General features: G+C 38.9%; 1 long non-coding RNA gene across 2 annotated transcripts in view, besides 1 other annotated feature; it reads right to left on the bottom strand.

Moving 5' to 3' along the window:
• Nucleotides 1–24,734, bottom strand: part of SOX2-OT (SOX2 overlapping transcript) — a 685,549-nt gene that overhangs the window by 653,876 nt on the left and 6,939 nt on the right. The gene's annotated exons all lie outside the window — the stretch shown is intronic.
• Nucleotides 12,519–13,150: an enhancer, noted in NCBI's record as "NANOG-H3K27ac-H3K4me1 hESC enhancer chr3:180792991-180793622 (GRCh37/hg19 assembly coordinates)". NCBI's record gives its function as "activates a minimal SCP1, AML or CMV promoter by ChIP-STARR-seq in naive H9 embryonic stem cells {active_cell/tissue: H9 hESC(naive)}" and the evidence as "EXISTENCE:reporter gene assay evidence [ECO:0000049][PMID:30033119]".

Here is a 24,734-nt window from a genome sequence, read left to right as displayed (position 1 = left end):
TCTCTCCTCTGCTTAAAGTTCTTCAAGGGGCTCCCAGAGTCGCGCACAGAGGCATATGAGACCCGGATTCATCCACGCACCCACTCCACATACCCTCTGACTCACTGCCTGCCCCTCTGTCTCACTCACTCCACCCCACCACTCTGAACACACCAGGCTTGCTCCCACCCTAAAGTTATTGTACTAGCTGTTCCCTCTGCCTGGTACATTCTTCCCTCATATGGCCACCTGATTCCTTCCCTCTTCGGGATTTTACTAAAATGTCACTTTCTCAATGAGGTCTACCCTGAAATCACAGTTCTCCCCCACCTCATCCCTGATCCCCCTCACTCTGCTTTATTTTCCTATGGCACTTATACTCTCCGATATTGTGTGTGAAGTATTGTGTATATGGTTTGTTGTCTTTCTCTACCCACTGCAACGTAAACTTCATGAAGTAAGGATTTGGGAGGGGGTTTTTGTTGTTGTTCATAGATATATCAAGAGTCTAGAACAGTACCTGGCATATTGCAGGTGCTCAATAAATATTTATTGTTGCACACTGTCTCCAGGCCTTCTACTACCACATCAGTAGTTACTTCTTCATCTTTTAAAATATCTTTGGGTCATATGGCTCTATAAGAATCTGATGAAAGCTGTGGACTGTCTTCCCAGGAAAACACAAATGAATATTCAAACAAGTCCTTGTTTGTTTCAGTAGGTCCATGAACTTTCTGAAGACCACCATGGTGATCTAAAGCTATAAAGATATAGACTACTTAGGTACCATTGATAGGCCATGAATGGAGTAACAGTTTCTTTGCAGTGAGTACACAAAGCACCAGGTGTCCTGTATTATGGTAAGTGCTGGAGCAGGAGCTTCCAGAATGAGGACTTAGTAGACATAGGAGAGGCTCAGAATAAGATGATGCTGGAACCAAAGCAGCAGTAAGTGGAAAGACCATTGAATGGTCTTTCGGACCACCTCCTCTTTCCTTCTTCTTTGCTACTATCAGGCTGACTACCCCTCCATCCCTTTATCAAATCTTGCCCTGGACTGCATTAAAGTTAGATCAGGAAGCAGGAGCTCGTCTCCCCTTGGTTGGGAAAGCTCCACAAATAGCTTTTGGGTCTACAGTGGTGAGTGGGAAGGGCACTATCAAGGAAAGGAAATTGGAAAGGTAAGAAAATTCCAGTGGCGTCCCAGCTGGGACAGTCATTCCCAATTGTTCATTCATTCATGTGTGGGTGTGACTATATCAGAGACTTCCTTAAGAAAGAGGAAAATAAATATATTTAACGGCTTTTTACTTTTCAGAAAAAAATATCTCTACAAATATATAATCAAAAGCAATCAGAATTGTAAAGTACTAAGAAATGGAAAAATATGTTTATTAGAACACAAAAGATGTTTTAGAGAAGATTAATGGTCTCAATTTTCTTTGCAATGATACTTTAAAACAGTAGACCATTGACTGAAAAATTCTTGAACTGAACAGACAGAAATATTTGGCCTTTCATGTTCCACTTGCTTTCTTGAAACAGAAAAATCATTCAGGTAAATAATAAAATGAGCAGAGATGAGAAGGGGTGAAGGTGCCATTCCGGTAACTGGAAAGCAAACACAAAATTCAACACAACCAGCTTCTTTCAAGTACGCTATTACAGTAGCTCTGAGAGCAGAATATAACGAAACTGAACTGAATAATTGCTTTAAATGTCTTCTTAAAGGGCCAGTGTGAAGAGAAGAGGCTGGAAAGTCCACTGATGTGAAGGAAGCAGCAGTGTGAGGGCTCAGGCAGAGTCTGCCAAGTGAGAGGGGGATGCAGCAAGATTAAGAAGATGGAAGAATCTGCTGGATCAAAAAAGCCATTGATTTCAGTTGTTAGAATTCCCCAAACACTGAAATGTTACAGTTAGGGTGGCCAGGTGAATGGTAACAGTATGGATTCTTCTCAGAACCAGATGTGTAAAATCGATGTTGAAAAAAATCCCACAGACTGAAGAGAAATAAACAGTGTGTATTGTTCTGTTTCTGTAAGGAAGTGACTGACAGCTCTGCGTTCCCTGTGGATGGCCCTGAACTCGGCTCTCCCCTTCAGTCCCATAATAACATTTGTTAGAAACAGGAACACCCAGTCCTGGAGAAGCACCCCCATGTTTACACGGGCCTCTCGTGTCCATGATCTCTTCCAGCCTCAAACAGTCCTGTGTCACCACCTTAGGGGTGTGGTGACGAGGCAAGGTCACTAAGCTCACAGTGTGACTTCCCTGGATCACACAATGTGAAACTGTCAAACTGTCCACTCAAATAGGTCAGAGAACTTCATTAATGTCATATGTCTACAATATCTTCTTCCAAGCCCCAAATTTATAACCCTAGTGAAATCCAGGCTTCACATTGGCTCCAGGAGTTTCTGAACAAGGCAGTCCTTTGAAACACTTTAAGAAACCCTCCCCAGGTTGTGAGCCAACAGCATCAATACCAGCAGGGAACCCATTAGAAACACAAATTCTTGGACCTGCACCCCAGACATACTGAAATGGGAATAGTTAGGTGGTGCCCAGCAATCAGTGTTTTAACAGGCCCTCCAGGTGATGCTGATGCCCACTCAAATTAGGAAGTTCTGACCTACATGATTGAGTTTGTCTAGTGGGGAGGAGAGACTTCCTGTGACGTGGATGTCAGGTCCCATTAGCACACAGGGAGTTTTGAATCAGGTCCTGTAGGGAGAGTAGCCTTTGGAAGCAATCATAACAGTTTTGAGAGCCTACCAAAAGGCTATTCTAAGTCAAACCCCACAAAACTAGGTAAATTTGCCACCAAAATACTACAAGAGATCATTAACGAGTGATCAGGACTTGTTTCAAAGAAAAACTAAAGGATAACAGAACAAATACTACTAACTTTGAAACAAACCAATGGCAAACCACCAGGCTAATTTTTCTGAAAATTTCCTTTTCTCACACAACTGAGTACAAGCATTTAAAGAGCTACTAGAAAAAAAAAATGTCTCCTCCTCTGAAATACCAGTGACATCATGGCATCGTGGTGGCAACAGTATTTACACAGAATTGTACTGACTGTGAAGCATTTTCACATTTCATGCTTGGTACTACCAACTACCAGCCGGGGAAGGTAGGATGGAAATCATTGGCCTCACTTATAGATGAAAATATTGAGTCCTACAAAACTTTTTAAAGCTAAATGATTTGACATTCTGAAATAGGCAAAACTATGGAGACAGTAAAAAAGACCAGTGGTTGCCAGAGTTTGGGAAGGGGAGAGAGGGATGAAGAGGCAGAACACAAAGGATTTTTAGGGCAGGGAAACTGCACTATATACTGTAATGCTGGATACACGGCAGTATACATAACCAAACACACAGAATGTACACCTATAGTGAACCCAAATGTCAATTACAGAGTTTAGGTGATTATGATGTGTCAATGTAGGTTGGTTAACTATGACAAATGTACTACTCTAGTGGAGATGTTGATAGTAGGAGAGGCTGTGCATGTGTGGGGCCAGGGAATATATGGAAAATCTCTGTATCTTCATCTCAATTTTGCTGTGGAACTAAAGCTGCTATTTTTAAAAGTGTATTTTTTTAAAAGCTAAATGAATTAACAAGACTATCCAAATAATTAGAAGCAGAGCCAGGATTAGAACCCAGGTTTCAGACTTCAATACAGACTCCTGTATTGATTCCTATGACTTACTTCCTGTTGATTCCCAAGAACCTTGATGCGGCGCATATGACTGGGAGGGCACCTAGAGCATTTCTGGGTGAATAAGGCCCCTCCATCCCTCAACAGCAGCACAAGTGTGTGTGAAAAAGGAGAGGCGATGATTATGGCAGTTCTGTAAAATTCACCCTGACATGGTAAAAATTTGAATGTTCTTAATTATGTCCACAGTTGTACTGTGTCACATATAATATATATATCATTCATATTTAATGCCAGAAATTTACATTATTATTTAGCATCCTTGGTTGTAGTTTTACCTTCTCAATTTTGTTTCTGGAGTCTAATATTAGACTTAATATCTATTCGGAAAATGTAAGCAACTTGGTGGGAGGGGAGAAATTCTCAGAAGCCTTTCAGAGGCTGGGAGAGTCCAACTTCAAATTCAATATTGGCCTTGGATAATCCTTAGGTAAATAAGTGCATACTTAAAAACACATAGCCTAGAAATCCTTAATATTTCCATGAAACCCTCCATTTATAATTTAGTTTCTGAGTTTCCTATACAGAAAACACTCCTGCAGAATTACCCTCTATTAGTAAGGGTGAAGTGGTAACCAGATCTTACAAAAGCTACAGTCCAAATTCTAATTCTCCCAATAACATCGATATTAGTATGGTTAAAGTGATCTGCTTCTACTATAAGTGCATGCTGGAAACTAAAGAAAATCATCTTTGAAAATCATCCAGAAACTCTATAATTTATAATACCAAGAGTAAGGATCAAACCAAAAAAACTAGACAACAGAAACAGACGAGCAGGTGATCATTTATTAGATTTATCAGACACAAACTTTAAAGTAACTATGATTAATACGTTTAGGAAAATAAGAGTCAAGGTGAAAAAGTTTGCCAGAGAACTGATATCTATGACAAAGAATCAAGTGCAACTTACAGAACTACAAAAGAATATTAAAATCTTTTCCAACAACTACATGAGATTGATAATGAATCTTAAGATAGGTGGAGCCCCGGCCAGGCACAGTGGCTCATGCCTGTAATCCTAGCACTTTGGGAGGCCCAGACGGGCAGATCACAAGGTCAGGAGTTCAAGACCAGCCTGGCCAATATGGTGAAACCCCATCTCTACTAAAAATACAAAAATCAGCCAGGTGTGGCAGTGGGCGCCTGTAGTCTCAGCTACTCAGGAGGCAGTGGCAGGAGAATCACTTGAAACGAGGAGGCAGAGGTTGCAGTGAACTGAGATCATGCCATTGCACTCCAGCCTAGGCAACAGAGCAAGACTCCATCTCAAAAAAAAAAAAAAAAAAAGATAGCTGCAGCCCCAGCCAACACCTTAATTTGCAGTTTTGTGAGAGACCCTGGAGCAAAGGACCCAGCTACACTGTTCCCAGAATCATGACTCACAAAAACTGTGAAATGATAAATGTGTGTTGTTTTTAAGACTGTAAGTTGTTAATCTGTTATGCAGCAATAATGACTAATTCAAGCACATAGAATAAGTGAGTAAAGGGGAAAAAATTAATGGTATGTTTTAAATAAATATACCAGTAATTACTTCAACTGTAAATTAAATTAATATTTTGTAATTAAACTGGATTATCAACTGAATTTTTATTTTAAAGATACAACTATAAGCTGCTTACAAGAGATATGCTTTAAAAATAAACATGTAGAATAGTTGAAAATGAAAGAATGGAAAAAATATACAATACAATTTAAACACAAGAAAAAATTATACTAATGTTTTTGGATAATTAAAATTACTTGAGGTAAAGAGGGAGATTTTATAATGAAAAAAGTCACTTCACCAGGAAAATATAACAATTTTAAATTTGTACTCACCTAAAAGCATAACCTCAAAGTGTATTTTTAAAATACAACAATTTTAAGGAAAAATAGACAAATCCACAATCATAGTGGGAGAGCTTAACGTACCTTTTTCAAAAACTGATAAACAAAAATCAGTAAGAATACAGAAAATGTTAATAGTGCAATTAAGAAATCGACCCTCAAGCATATATAGAACATTGATCCTAAAAACTGCAGAATATGCATTCTTTTAAAGCATATGTAGGGAATTTACTGTAATTGACCACATATCATTCCATAAAACACATTTCAATACATTTTAAAGATTAGAATTTATTTACTTATGTTCTCTTGGCCATACCAGAATTAAGATAAAAATCAATTACCAAAAAAATTAACAGAAAATCTCCAAATGCTGCAAAGTTAAGCACCACACTTAGATAAATAATTAATGGTTCAAGTAAATTTCAAAAGAAATTTTAAAATATTTTGAACTGAAATTTTAATAAATTACATAAACAAAGAAAATGAAAAAGTGCAATCATTACTAAGTAGCATAGGCGTCAGCAAACTTTTTCCATAAAAGGTCAGAGAGTAATATTTTAAGTTTTGCAGACCATATAATTTCTATCACAACTATTGAGTTCTACTGTTGTATCACAAAAGCTGCCCTAGACAATAAGTAAGTGAATGAGCCTGTGTTCCAATAAAACTTTATTTGCAAAGAAAAGTGACAGGCCGGATTTGGCCTACTTTGTTTACTTGAAGAAAAACTAAGATTTGAATAAAAGAAGAAATATAATCAGAGCATACCTTTTAGCTCAGTGGTGAACAATCTTTAGATAGTATTAATATGATAAACTGATTATTGACTTCAGCAATAAATATAATATAATTATAATAGGAGGAGTCGAGAAGGAAAAAGAGCAAACCTACAACTATCAAACAGGAAACAGACTGCCTAACTGAAAAAAACACGAGATTGCAACATAAGCACATGTTTACAAAATACCAGAAAAAAAACACTTTTAAAAGTTTAAAGTGATGGTATTTGGGTAGTGTGCCTGTAAAGAGGCAATAGAAGAGGCTATTGGTTTTTGTTTTGTTTTGTTTTGTTTTGTTTTTTGAACAATAAAGCTTTTTAATCACCTGGGTGCAGGCGGGCTGAGTCCAAAAAGAGAGTAAGCAAAGGGTGGTGGGATTATCATTAGTTCTTACAGGTTTGGGATAGGCATACAAAGTACATTCTCAAGGGCGGGGAGAACATTACAAAGTACCTTCTTAAGGGCTGGGGAGAATATTACAAAGTACGTTCTTTTTTTTTTTTCATATTCAAAATAAATCCAAAGATGCTATTTATTATAAGTCTCATAAGAGATGGTTATCAAAAGGACTTGCATGCCAATGTTTTCTTGTGCCATTTCTTTCTACAATAAATCTATTTGGCTTCTGTTTCATCTTAGCTGTCATAGACATATCTTTTACGTATCATATTGTCAGTACTAACCTTTTGTTTATTAGGACATAAGACCTAAGAATCTAGACATTAATCTGATCTGATTGTTCTGTTTGTTACAGTTAGCCTGTAATCTCTTTTTTTTTTTTTTTTTTTTTTTTTTTTTTGAGACAGAGTCTCGCTCTTTCACTGAGGCTGGAGTGCAGTGGCGCGATCTCGGCTCACTGCAACCTCCTCCTCCCGGGTTCAAGTGATTCTCCTGCCTCAGCCTCCCAAGTAGCTGGGATTACAGGCGCCTGCTACCACATCTAGCTAATTTTTGTATTTTCAGTAGAGACAAGGTTTCACCATGTTGGCCAGGATAGTCTCGATCTCTTGACCTCATGATCCACCCACCTCGGCTTCCCAAAGTGCTGGGATTACAGGCGTGAGCCACCACGCCCGGCTGAACTTCCTTCTTTTTCTTAACGCTGAATAGTATTCCGTTGTAAATATATTCCACATTTTCTTTATCTACTCATCTGTCCATGGAAATTTAGATGTTTTCCACATCTTCGCTATTGTGAATAATGCTGCAATGAATATAGGGATGCTATCCTTATTTCAATTATGTGAATACATTCCCAGAAGTGAGATTGGATCATATAGTAGTTTTTGTTTGTTTGTTTGTTTGTTTTGAGACAGAGTCTCACTCTGTCACCCAGGCTGGCATGCAGTGGCGCAATCTCAGCGCACTGCAACCTCCACCTCCTGGGCTCAAGCAATTCTCCCGCCTCAGCTTCCCAATAAGCTCAATAAATATTTCTTACTAAATGAATGTCATGTTCATCCAAAGAAATACCTTGCAGCTATTTAAAAGAATACGATAAATTTGTATGTTCCAACGTGAAAAAATGACTCTACTATGAAAATGAAAGTAAGGAAGTTCTATGATAGTTTTTTTGTATACACACTCACACACATATGTATGTGTACATATACATGCACATATGTGCGTGTAAGGGAAAATATATATAATATATTCTCTTAAGACAGCATGCTACACACAACATTCAATATTGATAACAGGGGAACATCTGCCTTGTCTTGGTCCCAGTTCCATTTCTAATCCCTTAACTCCTTCAGTGAGGGCCACTAAAGGCTCTGAAATTGAGCTGACCAAAGAAAATTAGAATAGTATTCATATTTTAAGAGATGCATTTGAACTTAAGCTTAAAATTGATGTTATTAATTTAATGGACAAATTGGCAGAGACCTAAAAATAAATGGCAAAACTAAGCCTTAAATCTAAAGTCTCCAGGAAATCACTGACAATGAAAAATGGTGATAGAGTACTTATGAATTTAAACTCTCAGCCAATGGAAAAAAATCAGACACTCAAATTCATATTTTTAGCTCCAGTATATTATTTAAGGCATAGTCTTTCAATATTACTCTTTCCATCTAGCTAAGACTCTAAATAGATAAGATCCATCCATTCATCAAATAGAACACGGTTTGTTACAATGCTAGCTAAAGAGCCTCCTGAGTCTGTCCAATCTACCAGAACAAGTCACCTTCCTCTCCTTTCACTCAATTAATTAAGGCAAACTTCACCACAAAGAAACACCTGTTGTTTCTAAAAGGCCACATAAAATAAAGGGAAAAATAAGACTAAACGAAAGATTTTTAAAACACCTAAGCTTTTATAATAAAATCAAAAGCATCCCCCTTAGAACAAAAGGAGTAAAGATAAGTATTTAAGTTAAAAGGTCATATTTCTAGCTTAGCTAAAAGTTTAAAGTGATGGTATTTGGGTAGTGTGCCTGTAAAGAGGCAATGGAAGAGGCTATTGGTTTTTGTTTTGTTTTGTTTTGTTTGTTTGTTTGTTTTTTGAGCAATAAAGCTTTTTAATCACCTGGGTGCAGGCGGGCTAGGTCCGAAAAGAGAGTAAGCAAAGGGTGGTGGGATTATCATTAGTTCTTACAGGTTTGGGATAGGCATACAAAGTACATTCTCAAGGGCGGGGAGAACATTACAAAGTACCTTCTTAAGGGCTGGGGAGAATATTACAAAGTACGTTCTTTTTTTTTTCATATTCAAAATAAATCCAAAGATGCTATTTATTGTAAATCTCATAAGAGATGGTTATCAAAAGCACTTGCATGCCAATGTTTTCTTGTGCCATTTCTTTCTACAATAAATCTATTTTGCTTCTGTCTCACCTTAGCTGTCATAGACATATCTTTTACGTATCATATTGTCAGTACTAACCTTTTGTTTATTAGGACATAAGACCCAAGAATCTAGACATTAATCTGATCTGATTGTTCTGTTTGTTACAGTTAGCCTGTAATCCCTTTTTTTTTTTTTTTTTGAGACAGAGTCTTGCTCTTTCACTGAGGCTGGAGTGCAGTGGCGCCATCTCGGCTCACTGCAACCTCCGCCTCCCGGGTTCAAGCGATTCTCCTGCCTCACCCTCCCAAGTAACTGGGATTACAGGCATGCGCCATCATGCCTGGCTAATTTTGTATTTTTAGTAGAGACAGCAAAAGGGGAAGTGTTATGCACATTCTTTTTTTTTTTTTGGAGATGGAATTTTGCTCTTGTTGCCCGGGCCACAGTACATTGGCACCATCTTGGCTCACTGCAACCTCCGCCTCCCAGGTGCAAGCGATTCTCATGCCTCAGTCTCCTGAGTAGCTGGGATTACAGGTGCACACCAACATGCCCAACTAATTTTGTATTTTTAGTAGAGACAGTGTTTCACCATGTTGGCCAGGCTGGTCTCGAACTCCTGACTTCAGGTGATCTGCCCCCCTTGGCCTCCCAAAGTGCTGGGACTACAGGCATGAGCCACTGCGCCCAGCTGCTACATACTTTTAAACAACCAGATCTCATGAGAATTCACTGTCACCACCAGAACAGCAAGGGGGAAATCTGCACCCATAATCCAATCATCTCCCACCAAGTCCCTCTGCCAACATTGGGGATTACAATCCAACAAAAGATTTGGGTGGGGACAGAGAGCCAAACCATATCCGTGGACATTCAATTCAAGGCATCTCATGCCAAGTCCAAGGCATGTTCCACAGCAACACACAGTTTCCATGAAGCGGTCCAAGAAATGAAAACAGGATGCAAGTGAGGGAGCCTGCAAGGCTCCTCCCTCAGAGGATACCACTCTGCCTTTCCCACTGGCTGTGATTATCTTTAAACATGTTCTTTCTGTTAATATCTATCTGGGGATCTCATTCCCTCTATAGATTGAGTGCATTCAGTCATTCATTCATGCTGTCTTCTTTTCAATTTCCTCAGAACCCTGCCTAATATTCTGAACAAAGAAAAAAAGATCTGCAAATACAAGTGCTCTGGACCACTTCTTTATGAGAATAAGTTGTCATGAAAATTGGACTATGCTTCATCTCTTTACTCCTGGTATAGCAAACCTCTAGATGTCCCATTCTAAAATCTTCTGTGAAGATTTTATGCTCTTCGGATAAATAAGCCAAAGTTTCCCAAACCTGAATGTTCATCAGAAGTACCTGGGAAATCATTAAAAAATAAAAGCCTGGACCCCAATTTAGGGCTACTGAAACTGAACTTCCAATGTCCTTGAACCAGTTTTTGCCAATCACTGCTGTAAGATACCAGTAGAAATACACAAAACAACTTTTATACCAAGCTGTCCCTTCTTAGACTTTGTTTATGTGTTTAAATTGAGAGACTAACACAATTTAAAGGAATCAAAACAGATCTGTAGCTGAAGGCATCCTGTCCTTGATGGGAACCAGGTAGAAAACAGTGTTAAAGGAGAGAATCGTGCCTACCTACAAGGTGGGAGAACTCTACCTGGAGTTGAAATCAATAGCCCTAGATTCCAGAGTCAGTTCTGCCCCTGTGTAAGTCATAGACTAACACAGGCCTCAGCAGGCTTCTGTGACATTACTCTTTCTTTCTGACTACTCCTTCTTCATCTCCTTTGAACTTTGTTCCCTCTGCTTGTCCTTAAATGTGGCTGTCCTTTAGATTCCTGTCCTCAGTTACTCTTTGAACTATCTACACTAATCCTGCCTCATTTCAAGTCCCCATGTCTTGAATGACTTATCTACGTGCTGATATTTCCCAAATCTGTATCTTCACTTACTGTCCTCAGCTGCACTCCTATGTACAAGACCCCAGAGTTAAAGTGACACTTTACAGCCTTTCCTCATCATTGACCAATTTCTACCAGCTACAGTGGAACACTTTTAACTTTTCATTACTCCTTTTTAGATAAAGACAGATTACCAGCAATAGGAATATGGTCAAGTACATTATAATACTTGTATCTAATGGAACATTACACAGTCATATAAAATGGCAGTTTGAAAAACTATGCAAAATATGGGGAAATAGAGTATATTGTTACAAAAGAGAGTAGTAAATTTTATCTCTATTATGATTATGTGGGAGACAAGAACATGCCACCCCAAAATATGCTTCTTTGGCTTAAGGACTGTTTTGAACCCAAGGCAATTGAGAGGGCAGGAAAGCTCTCTGCTTTCTAATTGCCTAAAAGCAGGATATAAATTTAGAAAGACAAGAGTATCCCTCCCCCCTTCTCTAGCAGGGAGGACAAAGGTTAAGCACTGAAGACAATTTTAGACTCTTATTGGCCTGGAGATGGCATCAGATGACTCTACATGAACAAGATTTACTAACTAGCCCTTATGTGCCATTTATTTGCCTTCTCACAATTTCCTGTCCCTACAGACACAGTTCTCTTCCTTTGTTCTGTCACTACTCTAAAAATTTACTATTCTTTGCTGAAGATGCTATATAAGCTAGAATTCAAAACTACCTCTTTGAGAATTACTCAGCCCCTAGGTATCTCCCACATATATACGAAATATATTAGTAAACTTCTGTTTGTTTTTCTCTAGTTAATCTGTCTTTTGTTATGGGGATTCATTCCAACTAAGAACCCATGAGGGTTGAGGAAAAAGTTACTTTTCCTCCTCTACCATTCTAATCTAAAAAGGTCAAAAGTATTGGACTAGAACTGGAAGGGAATATAGAAAATGACAGTTTATTGTTATTTAGATGTCTGAGTGGTTCTTTCCCATTAAGAGATTTCCATTATTATTTTATCATTTATGCAAATATATAGTTTATATATGATCATCTTAATTTGTGTAGTTATTCTAATCTTAATAACAAGTTTGTGGGGCTAAATAATAATATAACAGCTGCTCTTTAATTTTGTAAACAGTAAGATGCCATAAAGCAACCCAGGCTGTTCTTGTAACATGTTTGTCTTACTAACATACTATGGAAATAACAACCACATCCATCTGCTCATATCTCAGAACACTTTTCCAGGAGTCTCACCATGTCCTATACCAGTATATGATTATGCTTATGAGATAAATGGGATCATTACAACTACTTTAAAGATGAGGAAACTGAGGAACAGAAAGATTTTAAAACTTCATCAAAGGCTAGCCACAGATCAGAATGAATTTTCAACTCATTGATATTTACTCAACTAACAATCAGAATACATGTCAAATTTCTTTACTAACTGTTCTTAGCTGTTAATACACAGTATAATTTGTCTGGGTAAAGAAAATATTATGAAGGAGGGCAGGGCCAAGATGGCTGACTAGAAACAGCAGCAATCAGAGGCTCCCATGGAAAAGAACCAGAGTAAGCATGTGAATCCTTCACCGGCAACCAAGGTATTCAAGTTCTCTCATCAAAACTGACTAGGAGGCTGGTGCGATATACATGGAGAGGAAGGAAGAGAAGTGTGGTACAGTAGCCCACCTGAGAGCCACATGGGTCAGGGGAGCCCCTAACCCCCAGCCAAGGGAGGCAGTGAGTGAGCATGCTACCCAACTGAGGAAACCGTGCTTTTTCCACAGAACTGTGCAACCCCCGGATCAGAAGATCCCACTTGTGAACCCATGCTGTTGGGGCCTAGCATCCCAACCCCCAAGCTGCACAGATTCTCAACAGCCTCTCAGCTGTTGAGCTTCCAGGGAGAGGGGCAACAAGCACCACAGCTGTAGCTGCCTGCTGTCTAAGCAGCTTGAGCTCCTTGGGGGAGGGGCAGCAGCCAGCACTGGGACTCACAACTGCCTAACATGCTAAGCTCCCTGGGTCAGGGGAGGGCAGCATTCATCTCTATAGCTCCAGGCCATGCTTTTCCCCTGCTGGAGCCAGGGAGGCTGGATGGCTTGGTCCCATGATGTGTCCTCCACAGCCCAACACATTGGCTTGGCAGACTGCAGCCAGATTGCCTCTTCAGGCCTGACTCTACACCTCATTCCTCACCGGGCAGGGCTTCCCTGCAGGAACTTCAATAACTCCAGCCAGAGGCTCAGGGACAGAACCAGGGTCTCCCAGAGCCTGAGACCCTAGGGAGAGGGGTGGTCAGAGTCTCTGTGGACCAGCAGACTTAGCCTTTCCTCCTGGTAGTTCTGAGGAATCCAGGCAGCCCAGACAAGTGTGTTTCCCCACAGTGAAGCACACCCCCTCCACCAAGGGGCAGTCAAAGTGCTTCATTAAATGGGTCCTGTTCCCTGTGCCATCCAACTGGGTGAGACCCTTCAACAGGGGTTGTCAGACACCCAATACAGGAGTGATCCTACTGACATCAGGTTGGTGCCCCTCAAGGTCAGAGTCCCAGAAGAAGGAGCAGGCACACATCTTTGCTGCTCTGCAGCCTCCTTGAGTGGCATCTCCAGGTGTGGGAGTGAATCAGATGAATAAAGCCTGAAGTGAACCCCCAGCAAACTGCAGCAGCCCTACAGAAGAGGGATCTGACCACTAAAAGAAAAACAAACAGAAAGCAACAACAACAGCATCATCAATAACAAAAAGGCCCCCACAAAAAACCCCATCCAAAGGTCAGCAGCCTTAAAGATCGAAACTAGACAAACTCACAAAGATGAGAAAGAATCAATGTGAAAACGCTGAAAACCCAAAAAGCCAGAGTACCTCTTCTCCTCCAAATGATCGCAACATCTCTCAGCATGGGCATAGAACTGGATGGAGGATGAGATGGACAAATTGACAGAAGTAGACTTCAGAAGATGGGTAATAAAAAACTACACTGAGCTAAAGGAACATGTTCTAACCCAATGCAAAGAAGCTAAGAACCTGGATAAAAGGTTAGAGGAGCTGCTAACTAGAATAACCAGTTTAGAGAGGATCATAAATGACCTGATGGAGCTGAAAAACACAGTATAAGAACTTTGTGAAGCATACACAAGTATCAGTAGCTGAATCAATCAAGTAGAAAAAAAGGATAACAGAGTTTGAAGACCACCTTGCTGAAATAAGGCATGCAGACAAGACTAGAGAAAAAAGAATGAAAAAGGAATGAAAAAAGTCTCCAAGAAATATGAGACTTCATAAAAAGATTGAACCTACAATTGATTGGAGTACCTGAGTGAGATGGGGAGAATGGAAATAAGATGGGAAACACACTTCAAGATATTACCCAGGAGAACGTCTCCAACCTAGCAAGACAGGCCAATGTGAAAATTCAGAAAATACAGAGCACACCACTAAGGTACTACATGAGAATATCAACCCCAAGACACATAATCATCAGATTTTCCAAGATCAAAATGAAGGAAAAAATGTTAAGGGCAGCCAGAGAGAAAGGCCAGGCAACCTACAAAGGGAAGCCCATCAGGCTAACAGCAGATATCTCAAGCAGAAACTCTATAAGCCAGAAGAGACTGGGGACCAATATTCAACATTCTTAAAGAAAAGAATTTTTAACCCAGAATTTCATATCCACCCAAACTAAGCTTCATAAGTGAAGGAGAAATAAAATCCTTTCCAGGCAAGCAAATGCTGAGGGATTTTTACCACCAGGCCTGCCTTGGAGGAGTTCCTGAAAGATGCAGTAAATATCGAAAGGAAAAACCAGTACCAGCCACTGCAAACATACACCAAAATATAAAGACCAATGACACTATGAAGAAACAGCATCAACTAATGTGCAAAATAACCAGATAGCATCATGATGACAGGATCAAATTCACACATAACAATACTAACCTTAAATGTAAAGGAGCTAAATTCCCCAATTAAAAGACACAGACTGGCAAATTGGATAAAGAGGCAAGACCCATCGAGGTGCTGTATTCAGGAGACCCATCTCATGTGCAGAGACATACATAGGCTCAGAATAAAGAGATGGAAGAAAATTTACTAAGCAAATGAAAAGCAAAAAAAGCAGGGGTTGCAATCCTAGTCTCTGACAAAGCAGACTTTAAACCAACAAAGATTAAAAAAGACAAAGAAAGGCATTACATAATGGTAAAGGAAACAATTCAACAAGAAGAGCTAACTATTCTAAATATATATGCACCCAATATAGGAGGACTCCAATTCATAAAACAAGTTCTTAGAGATCTACAAAGAGACTTAGACTCACACACAATAATAGTGGGAGAATTTAACACCCCTTTGTCAATACTAGGCAGATCAATGAGACAGAAAATTAACAAGGATATTCAGATCTTGAATTCAGCTCTGGATCAAGTGGACCTAATAGGCATCTACAGAATGCTCCACCCCAAATCAACAGAATATACATTCTTCTCAGTGTCACATGGCACTTATTCTAAAATCAACCACATAATTGGAAGTAAAACACTCCTCAGCAAATCCAAAAGAAGTGAAATCATAACAAACAGTCTCTCAGACCACAGTGCAATCAAATTAGAACTCAGGATTAAGAAACTCACTCAAAACCACACGATTACATGGAAATTGAACAACCTGCTCCTGAATGACTCCTAGGTAAATAATGAAATTAAGGCAGAGATCAAGAAGTTCTTTGAAACCAATGAGAACAAAGAGACAATGTACCAGAATCTCTGGGATACAGCTAAAGCAGTGTTAAGAGGGAAATTTATAGCACTAAATGCCCACATCAGAAAGCTAGAAAGATCTCAAATTGACACCTTAATATCATAAGTAAAAGAGCTAGAGAAGCAAGAGCAATCTAATCCAAAAGCCAGCAGAAGACAAGAAATAACTAAAATCAGAGCAGAATTGAAGGAGATAGAGACACAAAAAACCCTCCAAAAAAAATCAATGAATCCAGGAGCTGGTTTTTTGAAAAAAATTAACAAAATAGATAGACAGCTAGCTAGATTAATAAAAAAGAAAAGAGAGAAGAATCAAATAGACACAATACAAAAACGATGAAGGGGATATCACCAATGACCCCAAGAAATACAAACTACCATCAGAGAATACTATAAACATCTCTATGCAAATAAACTAGAAAATGTAGAAGAAATGGATAAATTCCTGTACACATACACCCTCCCATGACTGAACCAGGAAGAAGTCCAATCTCTTAATAGACCGATAACAAGTTCTGAAATTGAGGCAGTAACTAATAGCCTACCAACCAAAAAAAGCCCAGGACCAGATGGATTCACAGCCGAATTCCAGCAGAGGTATGAAGAGGAGCTGGTACCCTTCCTTCTGAAACTATTCCAAATAATTTAAAAGGAGGGACTCCTCCCTAACTCATTTTATGAAGCCAGTATCATCCTGATACCCAAAACCAGGAAGAGACACAACAAAAAAAGAAAACTTCAGACCAATATCCTTGATGAATATCAATGTGAAATCCTCAATAAAATATTGGCAAATTGAATCCAGCAGCACATCAAAAAACTTATCCACCACGGTCAAGTCAGCTTCATCCCTGGGATGCAAGGCTGGTTCAAAATAATGCAAATTCATCACATAAACAGAACTGAAGACATGTATAATCCATCACATAAACAGAACCAAAGACAAAAACTACATGATTATCTCAATAGATGGAGAAAAGGCCTTTGATAAAATTCAATGTTCTTTCATGTTAAAAACTCTCAATAAACTAGGTATTGATGGAACATATCTCAAAATAATAAGAACTATTTGTGACAAACACATGCCAATAGCATATTGAATGGTCAAAAGCTGGAAGCATTCCCTTTGAAAACCAGTACACAACAAGGATGCCCTCTCTCACCACTCCTATTCAATATAGTATTGGAAGTTCTGGCCAGGGCAATCAGTCAAGAGAAAGAAATAAAGTGTATTCAAATAGGAAAAGAGGAAGTCAAATTATCTCTTTTGCAGATGACATGATTTCATAATTAGAAAACCCCATCATCTCAGTCCAAAAACTCCTTAAACTGATAAGCAACTTCAGCAAAGCTTCAGGATACAAAATCAATGTGCAAAAATCGCAAGCATTCCTTTACACAAATAATAGATAAGCAGAGAGCCAAATCATGAATGAACTCTCAATCACAATTGCTACAAAGAGAATAAAATACCTAGGAATACACCTAACAAGGGAAGTGAAAGGCTTCTTCAAGGAGAACTACAAAACACGGCTCAAGGAAATAAGAGGGGACACAAATAAATGGAAAAACATTCCATCCTCATGGATAGGAAGAATCAATATCGTGAAAATGGCCATACTGCCCAAAGTAATTTATAGATTCAATGCTATTCCCATCAAACTACCATTGACATTCTTCACAGAATTAGAAAAAACTACTTTAAATTTCATGTGGAATCAAAGAAGTCCCTGTATAGCCAAGACAATCCTAAGCAAAAAGAACAAAGCTGGAGGCATCATGCTACCTGACTTCAAACTATACTACAAGGTTAAAGTAACCAAAGCAGCATGCTACTGGTACCAAAACAGACATACAGACCAATGGAACAGAACAGACCTCAGAAATAATACCACACATCTACAACCATCTGATCTTTAACAAACCTAACAAAAACAAGCAATGGGGAAAGGATCTCCTATTCAATAAATGGTGATGAGAAAACTGGCTAGCCATATGTAGAAAGCCAAAACTGGATCCCTTCCTTACACCTTATACAAAAATTAACTCAAGATGGATTAAACCCTTAAATGTAAAACCCAAAATCATAAAAACCCTAGAAGAAAACCTAGGCAATACCATTCAGGACATAGGCATGGGCAAAGACTTCATGACAAAAATGCCAAAAGCAATTGCAACAAAAGCCAAAATTGATAAACAGGATCTAATTAAGCTAAAGAGCTTCTGCACAGCAAAGGAAACTATCATCAGAGTGAACAGGCAACCTACAGAATGGGAGAAAATTTTTGTAATCTACCCATCTGACAAATGTCTAATATCCAGAATTTACAAAGAACTTAAACAAATGTACAAGAAAAAAACAATCCCAACAAAAAGTGGGCAAAGGATATGAACAGACACTTCTCAAAAGAAGACATTTACGTGACCAACAAACATGAAAAAAAGCTCAACATCACTGATCATTAGAGCAATGTAAATCAAAACCACAATAAGATACCATCGCACACCAGTCAGAATGGTGATTATTAAAAAGTCAAGAAGCAATAGATGCTGGCGAGGCTGTGGAGAAATAGGAATGCTTTTACACTGTTGGTGGGAATGTGAATTAGTTCAACCATTGTAGAAGACAGTGTGGTGATTCCTCAAGGATCTAGAACCAGAAATACCATTTGGCCCAGCAATCCCATTACTGGGTATATACCCAAAGGAATATAAATCATTCTACTATAAAGACGCATGCACATGTATGTTTAGTGCAGCACTATTTACAATAGCAAAGAGTTGGAACCAACCCAAATGCCCATCAATAATAGACTGGATAAAGAAAATGCGGTACATGTACACCATGGAATACTACGCAGCCATAAAAAGGAATGAGATCGTGTCCTTTGCAGGGACATGGATGAAGCTAGAAGCCATCATCCTCAGCAAATAAACACAGGAACAGAAAACCAAACACCGCATGTTCTCACTCGTAAGTGGAAGTTGAACAATGAGAACACATGGTGGGGAACAACACACACTAGGGCCTGTTGGGGGGGTGGGGGATGAGGGGAGAGAACTTAGAGGAGGGGTCAATAGGTGCAGCAAACCACCATGGCACATGTATACCTATGTAACAAACCGGCACATTCTGCACATGTATCCCGGAACTTAAAGTAAAATTTAAAAATTAAAGAAAAAAAAGAGAAAATATTACGTTGATTCGTCTTATAACATGCTCCTTCTTCCTATTTGCTTAGGAGAGCTTTAGAAATTCTTATCTACTCATTTATACATGATGGATGACTTTCAAAAACAATATTGTAAATAGAATCTTTGATTTCAGGTACTCAATTTACATGGAAAATAACAAAATGTAAATTAAAGTGCAATTTTACATCTCCACTTATTTTCCAACTCCACAGAATAATGACCCTTTGGTAGGCTAATTCTGATATTGTTATGACTACAGGTTACTGAGCATCATAAAATGACAAAAAAATAAATTACTAATAAGAATTTATTCAACATGCAATACTATCCTAAGCCAGAATTCTTTTGCATCACTTGGAGAACGGATTTTGTATTTCAGAGAATTGAAAACCAAAGCAGGGGTAATGCTAATCTACCTTAGAAGCAGCATACTGCCATTTAAAAATAACATTATTCTAACCAGCATTCAGCTCATTCTAAGCTTGTCACCTCATGTGTGCTAAACTAGTCAGCCACAAGACTTCCTCTCTAAACACACAAGTCATAAGAGCTCTGAAAACTCAGACAGTGATGGGGTTTTTTGGTCATTTCCTAAACTGTAAGCAGTTACAAACTGTGGAATGAGAGACATTTTATTCTCTTTTGCATTAAGTTGGCAGTTTCACACTCCTGTCAATAAACTTATTTTGTAGACCCTTCAAACTCCCCCTTTTTTTCCCTTAAGGACTTACATCTTGAGAAATTCTGCAGAAGGGAATGTTTTTTAACTTAAAGTATTTGGGAGTGTTTGGAAATATCATTTACCAATAGTTTATTGAATGATCTGCAAATTTGAGCTTCTGATTCCAGCCTCTTCTTGATCAAAGCCACAATAATAAACCTTGTTCTTCTACTCTTCTGTAGTATGGTATTGTAAATTTTATTTTACCCTCTAGATGAGAAGCACAAACTTCTTTAGGCAACTTTTAGGCTGCAGCAAGGCCACTGACTTGCTTTGCTTAGTCCACACAAAATTTATATGAGTTAAATCAATATATGAAAATCAGTTTAATTCACATAAAGATCCAAATATCCAGTTTCTCTCAAAATTTTGGAAAATTTGGCAACCCGGGCCTCTATTCCTATGTAATAATTTGGCTAGGGTGGCATAGTGGTTGTCTCTTTACACAGCAATGAATATTCAGATGACTATAATCCCTGCCAACATTCTCCCAACCCCATCATGTCCCTGACATCAAGATTTCTATGAAACCCAGCTTACTTCATATAATTATGCTACCTGCCTGGTTTCTGTAGTCATTTGAATTTCTGACCTCTTCTGATAGAAATGTTTTCTATTTTATTTCATTAGCATGTATTGCACACCTGACAAATTTTGTAGCAGTGAGGAATATAGCAGGTTACAAGTTCCTGACCTCAGACTGCTTAAACTGTTGTTGCTGGGGCTGAAATGCACACAAAGAGTGGTAATTCAAGGTGCTTAGCATTGAATCACATATAGTGGTTTAAAGCAGGATTCTTCAATAGAATTTTAATGCAAGCCAAATAAGAGCCACGCATGTAATTTCAAGTTTTCTAGTAGCCAGATTTAAAAGATTTTTTATATGAAATTAATGTAATAGGTTTTATATAAACTAATATAACCAACATATTGTCATTTCAACATATAATCGGTGTAAAATAAAACCTACTTATGACATATTTACATTCTGTTTTTTGTACTAAGTCTTTGAAATCTAGCATTTAATTTACGCTTACAGAACATCTCAATCTGGACCAGTCACATCACAAGTGGTCAAAAGTCACATGTGACTAGTGGCTACAGTATTGGACAGAGCAGGTCTAAAGTGACAAGAAGACAAGTGATAGCAACAACTCATCTGACTAGAGATAGCAAAAAAAGACTTCAAGGTAAAAGTTCCATTGGAGAATAAACAGGATGCTGAGGAGAGATGGGCAGGTTAAGGAGCTGTCACGATCTTAGGAAAGCAAAATAAAAATAAGTGGCGGCTGGATGCGGTGGCTCACACCTGTAATCCCAGCACTTTGGGAGGCTGAGATGGGCAGATCACTTGAGGTCCGGAGTTCAAGACCAGCCTGGTCAACATGGTGAAACCCCGTGTCTACTTAAAATACAAAAAAGTTAGCTGGGCGTGGTGGCACCCGCCTGTAATCCCAGCTACTCGGGGATGCTGAGACATGCAAATCACTTGAACCTGGAAGGCTGAGATTGCAGGCACCACTGCACTCCAGCCTGGGTAACAGAGTGAGACTGTGTCTCAAAAAAAAAAAAAAAAAAAAAAAAATCAAGGACACTGTTCTGCTAAGGAGCTAAGATTTCATTCTCTGTGTAATGGTGAGCCACTAAGACATTTTGAGCAAGAAAGTGGCTTATCAGATGTATGTTTAGGATGGATAGTATATGATGCTGGACTAATGTAACTCAAATCAAATTAGTCAGGTCTGACTTCATGAAATAGTTAGAATACCAGGATGGAAGCTCCAGAAGACTGATAATCAGCTCAATACAAAGAATAATTTTCTAAATTGTTAGTATTGCCCTATGCACGATGTCCTGGCTTAAGAGGTTGTAAATTCGACTTTGGGGATGTAGAAGCAGATGCTAGATAACTACTCACCAGTAATCAGGCAAAGTAGAGAAGCTCTTTTGTCCCCTGCAACATACAGATAGCACCCCTATGCTCAATTCCCTTTGAGCGAGCTGTAACTTCATGCCTTTCACTCCCATTCAAGACAGCATATTGGAATGCAGGGGAGAGAGACAGTGCTATTATTACCAAGATAACCTTGAGTCTGTTCTAATTTATTTTTTAAAAGAAAATAAATCACTCTCAACCTTTGTTGCTTTATTATTAGGGGGGTTAGATGAAGCACATTTTATTCTCCTGGCAGCTGGTATGAGAATTCCTCTTAGCGAGAGAATTGCCTTTGTTGAGAAAATGCTTTAGTAGGCCCACTTGGGGTGGATGAGTCCTGCAGGGCAGGGATGTCACTTAAGGCCAAGGATTCAGGGGAGAGGGTGAAACTACACAGCATGAGACAGAGAGAGAAATTTGTTTGCTCTGAAGAGAGAAGGAGTAGAAGAAAAGAAGGTCAGGGTAGAGAAAGAAGAGGGAGCAATTAATGAAATCATTGAGAGACTGAAGTCCTCAAACATTCAATAAAGTTAGAAACTCAGGAAATGGTTGATGTGAGTGGATTTGGGATAGTAAACTAGTAGAGGCACTGAATTTTCATCCAGGTTGACAAAGAACAAAACAAAACACTTACAGATGCAAAACATTACAACAGAGGAAGCTGCAAGAAAACAAGCCCTTAGGAATGCAAATAAATTATGGGGAACACTGAAGACTGGGGTTCAAGCCAGATTAACTTAGAATTACAAGGGTCAGGGGGACTCTGCTAATCTCCTTAGTTATGTTACACTGGTCCCACATTGCTTGTAGTAATAGAGCTCCCATCTGTCCAGACATACAGGAACATCAGATGACCATTATTGAAATAAATCAATTTAAAGGATAGTCAGCACTAGACTTCAGATTTGCAGAGACTGCCTTGTGGACCCTCTTAACTCTGACTTGGTATGACAACTGTTTTATGTGACCACGTGTTCTAAACTACATCAGTTTCATTTGACCAGTGCTCCTCCAAGTGAATTATGATGAGATGATACGCCAGCAAATCCTCGGGTTGCAGAAAATAACACCACACCTCCTCCATTTTATTTGATCATAAATAATTGAAAACCTTGTCGTCTGTTTTTTTTTTTTTTTTTTTTTTTGAGACAGAGTCTCACTCTGTCACCCAAGCTGGAGTGCAGTGGCTTGATCTTGGCTCACTGCAACCTCCGCCTTTCAGGTTTAAGTGATTCTCCTGCCTCAGCCTCCCGAGTAGCTGGGATTACAGGTGTGCACCACCATGCCCAGCTAAGTTTTTGTATTTTTTGTACAGACGGGGTTTCGCCATGTTGGCCAGGCTAGTCTCAAACTCCTGATCTCAGGTGAGCCACCTCAGCCTCCCAAAGTGCTGGGATTCCAGGCATGAGCCACCACACCTGGCTTGAAAACCTTGTCATTTTTAAGCATGGATAGTCTTTAATTATTGTTAGATTGTTAAAAATAAGCATTTAATTTTGCAATAAAATCTGGAGACTTACAGGGAATGACATGCTTTGATTATTCCGTGTTTCATTGCCAGATCTCAGGAGTAGGTGCTTCACTGTCCACTGTTGTAGGTAAACTTCAGTGAACAAGTTTGTGAAGGCCTTGTCTAAATCACGCCAAGGACTTGCTAAAAGCAAGCTCTAAAGATCAATGGTCATATCACAGCTATCTTCAAGTTGCCCTTACATTTTGTGCCACAGTTTCCAAGCAGCCTTGGAGACCCATCTGGTAAGCAGCATAAATCAGCTTCATTATAATCATCAAATGGCATTTAAAGGCTCACACAAATGCAGACATCAGTCTACAAGCTTCACATAAAACTAGATAAATATAGATGTTACCTGTTGTCTACAGTTTACAGCCTGGATGCTGCAACCTAGCTGTGGACTCATATTTATTATAACATACAAACACAGGCCACAGAACCTTGGGGACATAGAGTAAAACAAAATTACACATGGACTAAAGTTGTGCTGTTGATTGTGTGCCTTGTAGACTGGAATGGTGAGAGAAGAAAATTAGTCTAGAATCACAACCAAAACCAAGTGCCCTGGAACTAGACTCTGCGGGTCTAAATCTGGGCTCTGCTACTTCTTAGCAGTGTGATTGATCCTGGGCAAAATAACTTAAGTGCTCTGTTTCTCAGTTTCCTGTGTGTGAAATGGAGGAACTAATCATTCTGGCTCTGCAAGGTTTTGAGAAAAGTTAAATGAGATAGCTGTAAAGTACTTATCCAAGTGCAGTGTACAGAATAAATGCTCAATAAATATCCTCTCTCTCTATTAGTAATTGAAAAGTCTTGACAACATACACTTGTGTGTCCTAGGCACTGTGCTATGGCCACAGACTACACATATGAATCAAAATGCTCAGACTAATTATGGTCTGTAATACAAGGCAGGCTGTGATAAGCACTATAATAGAAGTAATAAAATGTTCCGAGAATATTAACCTGAGGTCATGGACTGGTCTTGTTCATCCTTGTATCCTCAGCATATTTTATCCAGTATCCAGCACAGAATCAACCCTCAGCAAATGATTGGAGAAGAAACAACTGATTTATAGGCCAGGGGAACGACAGAACTAGGAAATACTTCAAAGAAAGGCTTGGTAATGCAGATGGAATTTCAGGAGGGTTTGAAAAAGGAATAAGAGGATGTAAATTAAAGAGTAAAAAGGAATCAAGGAAATGGGAAGAAAGCAGGGCATGTTTTTAAGCACGGGTAGAATCTTTATTATTAGATTGTTAAAATGAGCATTTAATTTTGTGATAAAATCTGGAGACTAAATGATGGATATTTAGGCTGTTTCCACCTCTTATCTATTGTGAATAATGCCACTATGAACATTGGTATACAAGGTATATGATTATCTGTTTTAGTTCCAGCTTTCAATTCTTTGGGTTATATACCTAGGAGTCGAATTTCTGGATCATGGAGAGGTAGGCCTGTTACACATACTACAGTCCTGGTGTCAAAAGAATTTCAAAATATTTACAAATATTCTCTCTAACCCTATGGAGATAACAGTCTTACCAAG

The sequence above is a fragment of the Homo sapiens genome, chromosome 3, assembly GCF_000001405.40.
Source record: "Homo sapiens chromosome 3, GRCh38.p14 Primary Assembly".
NCBI classification, from domain to species: domain Eukaryota; kingdom Metazoa; phylum Chordata; class Mammalia; order Primates; family Hominidae; genus Homo; species Homo sapiens.
The sequence above is the reverse complement of the archived record's forward strand: the minus strand, read 5'-3'. Positions and strand labels throughout refer to the sequence as shown.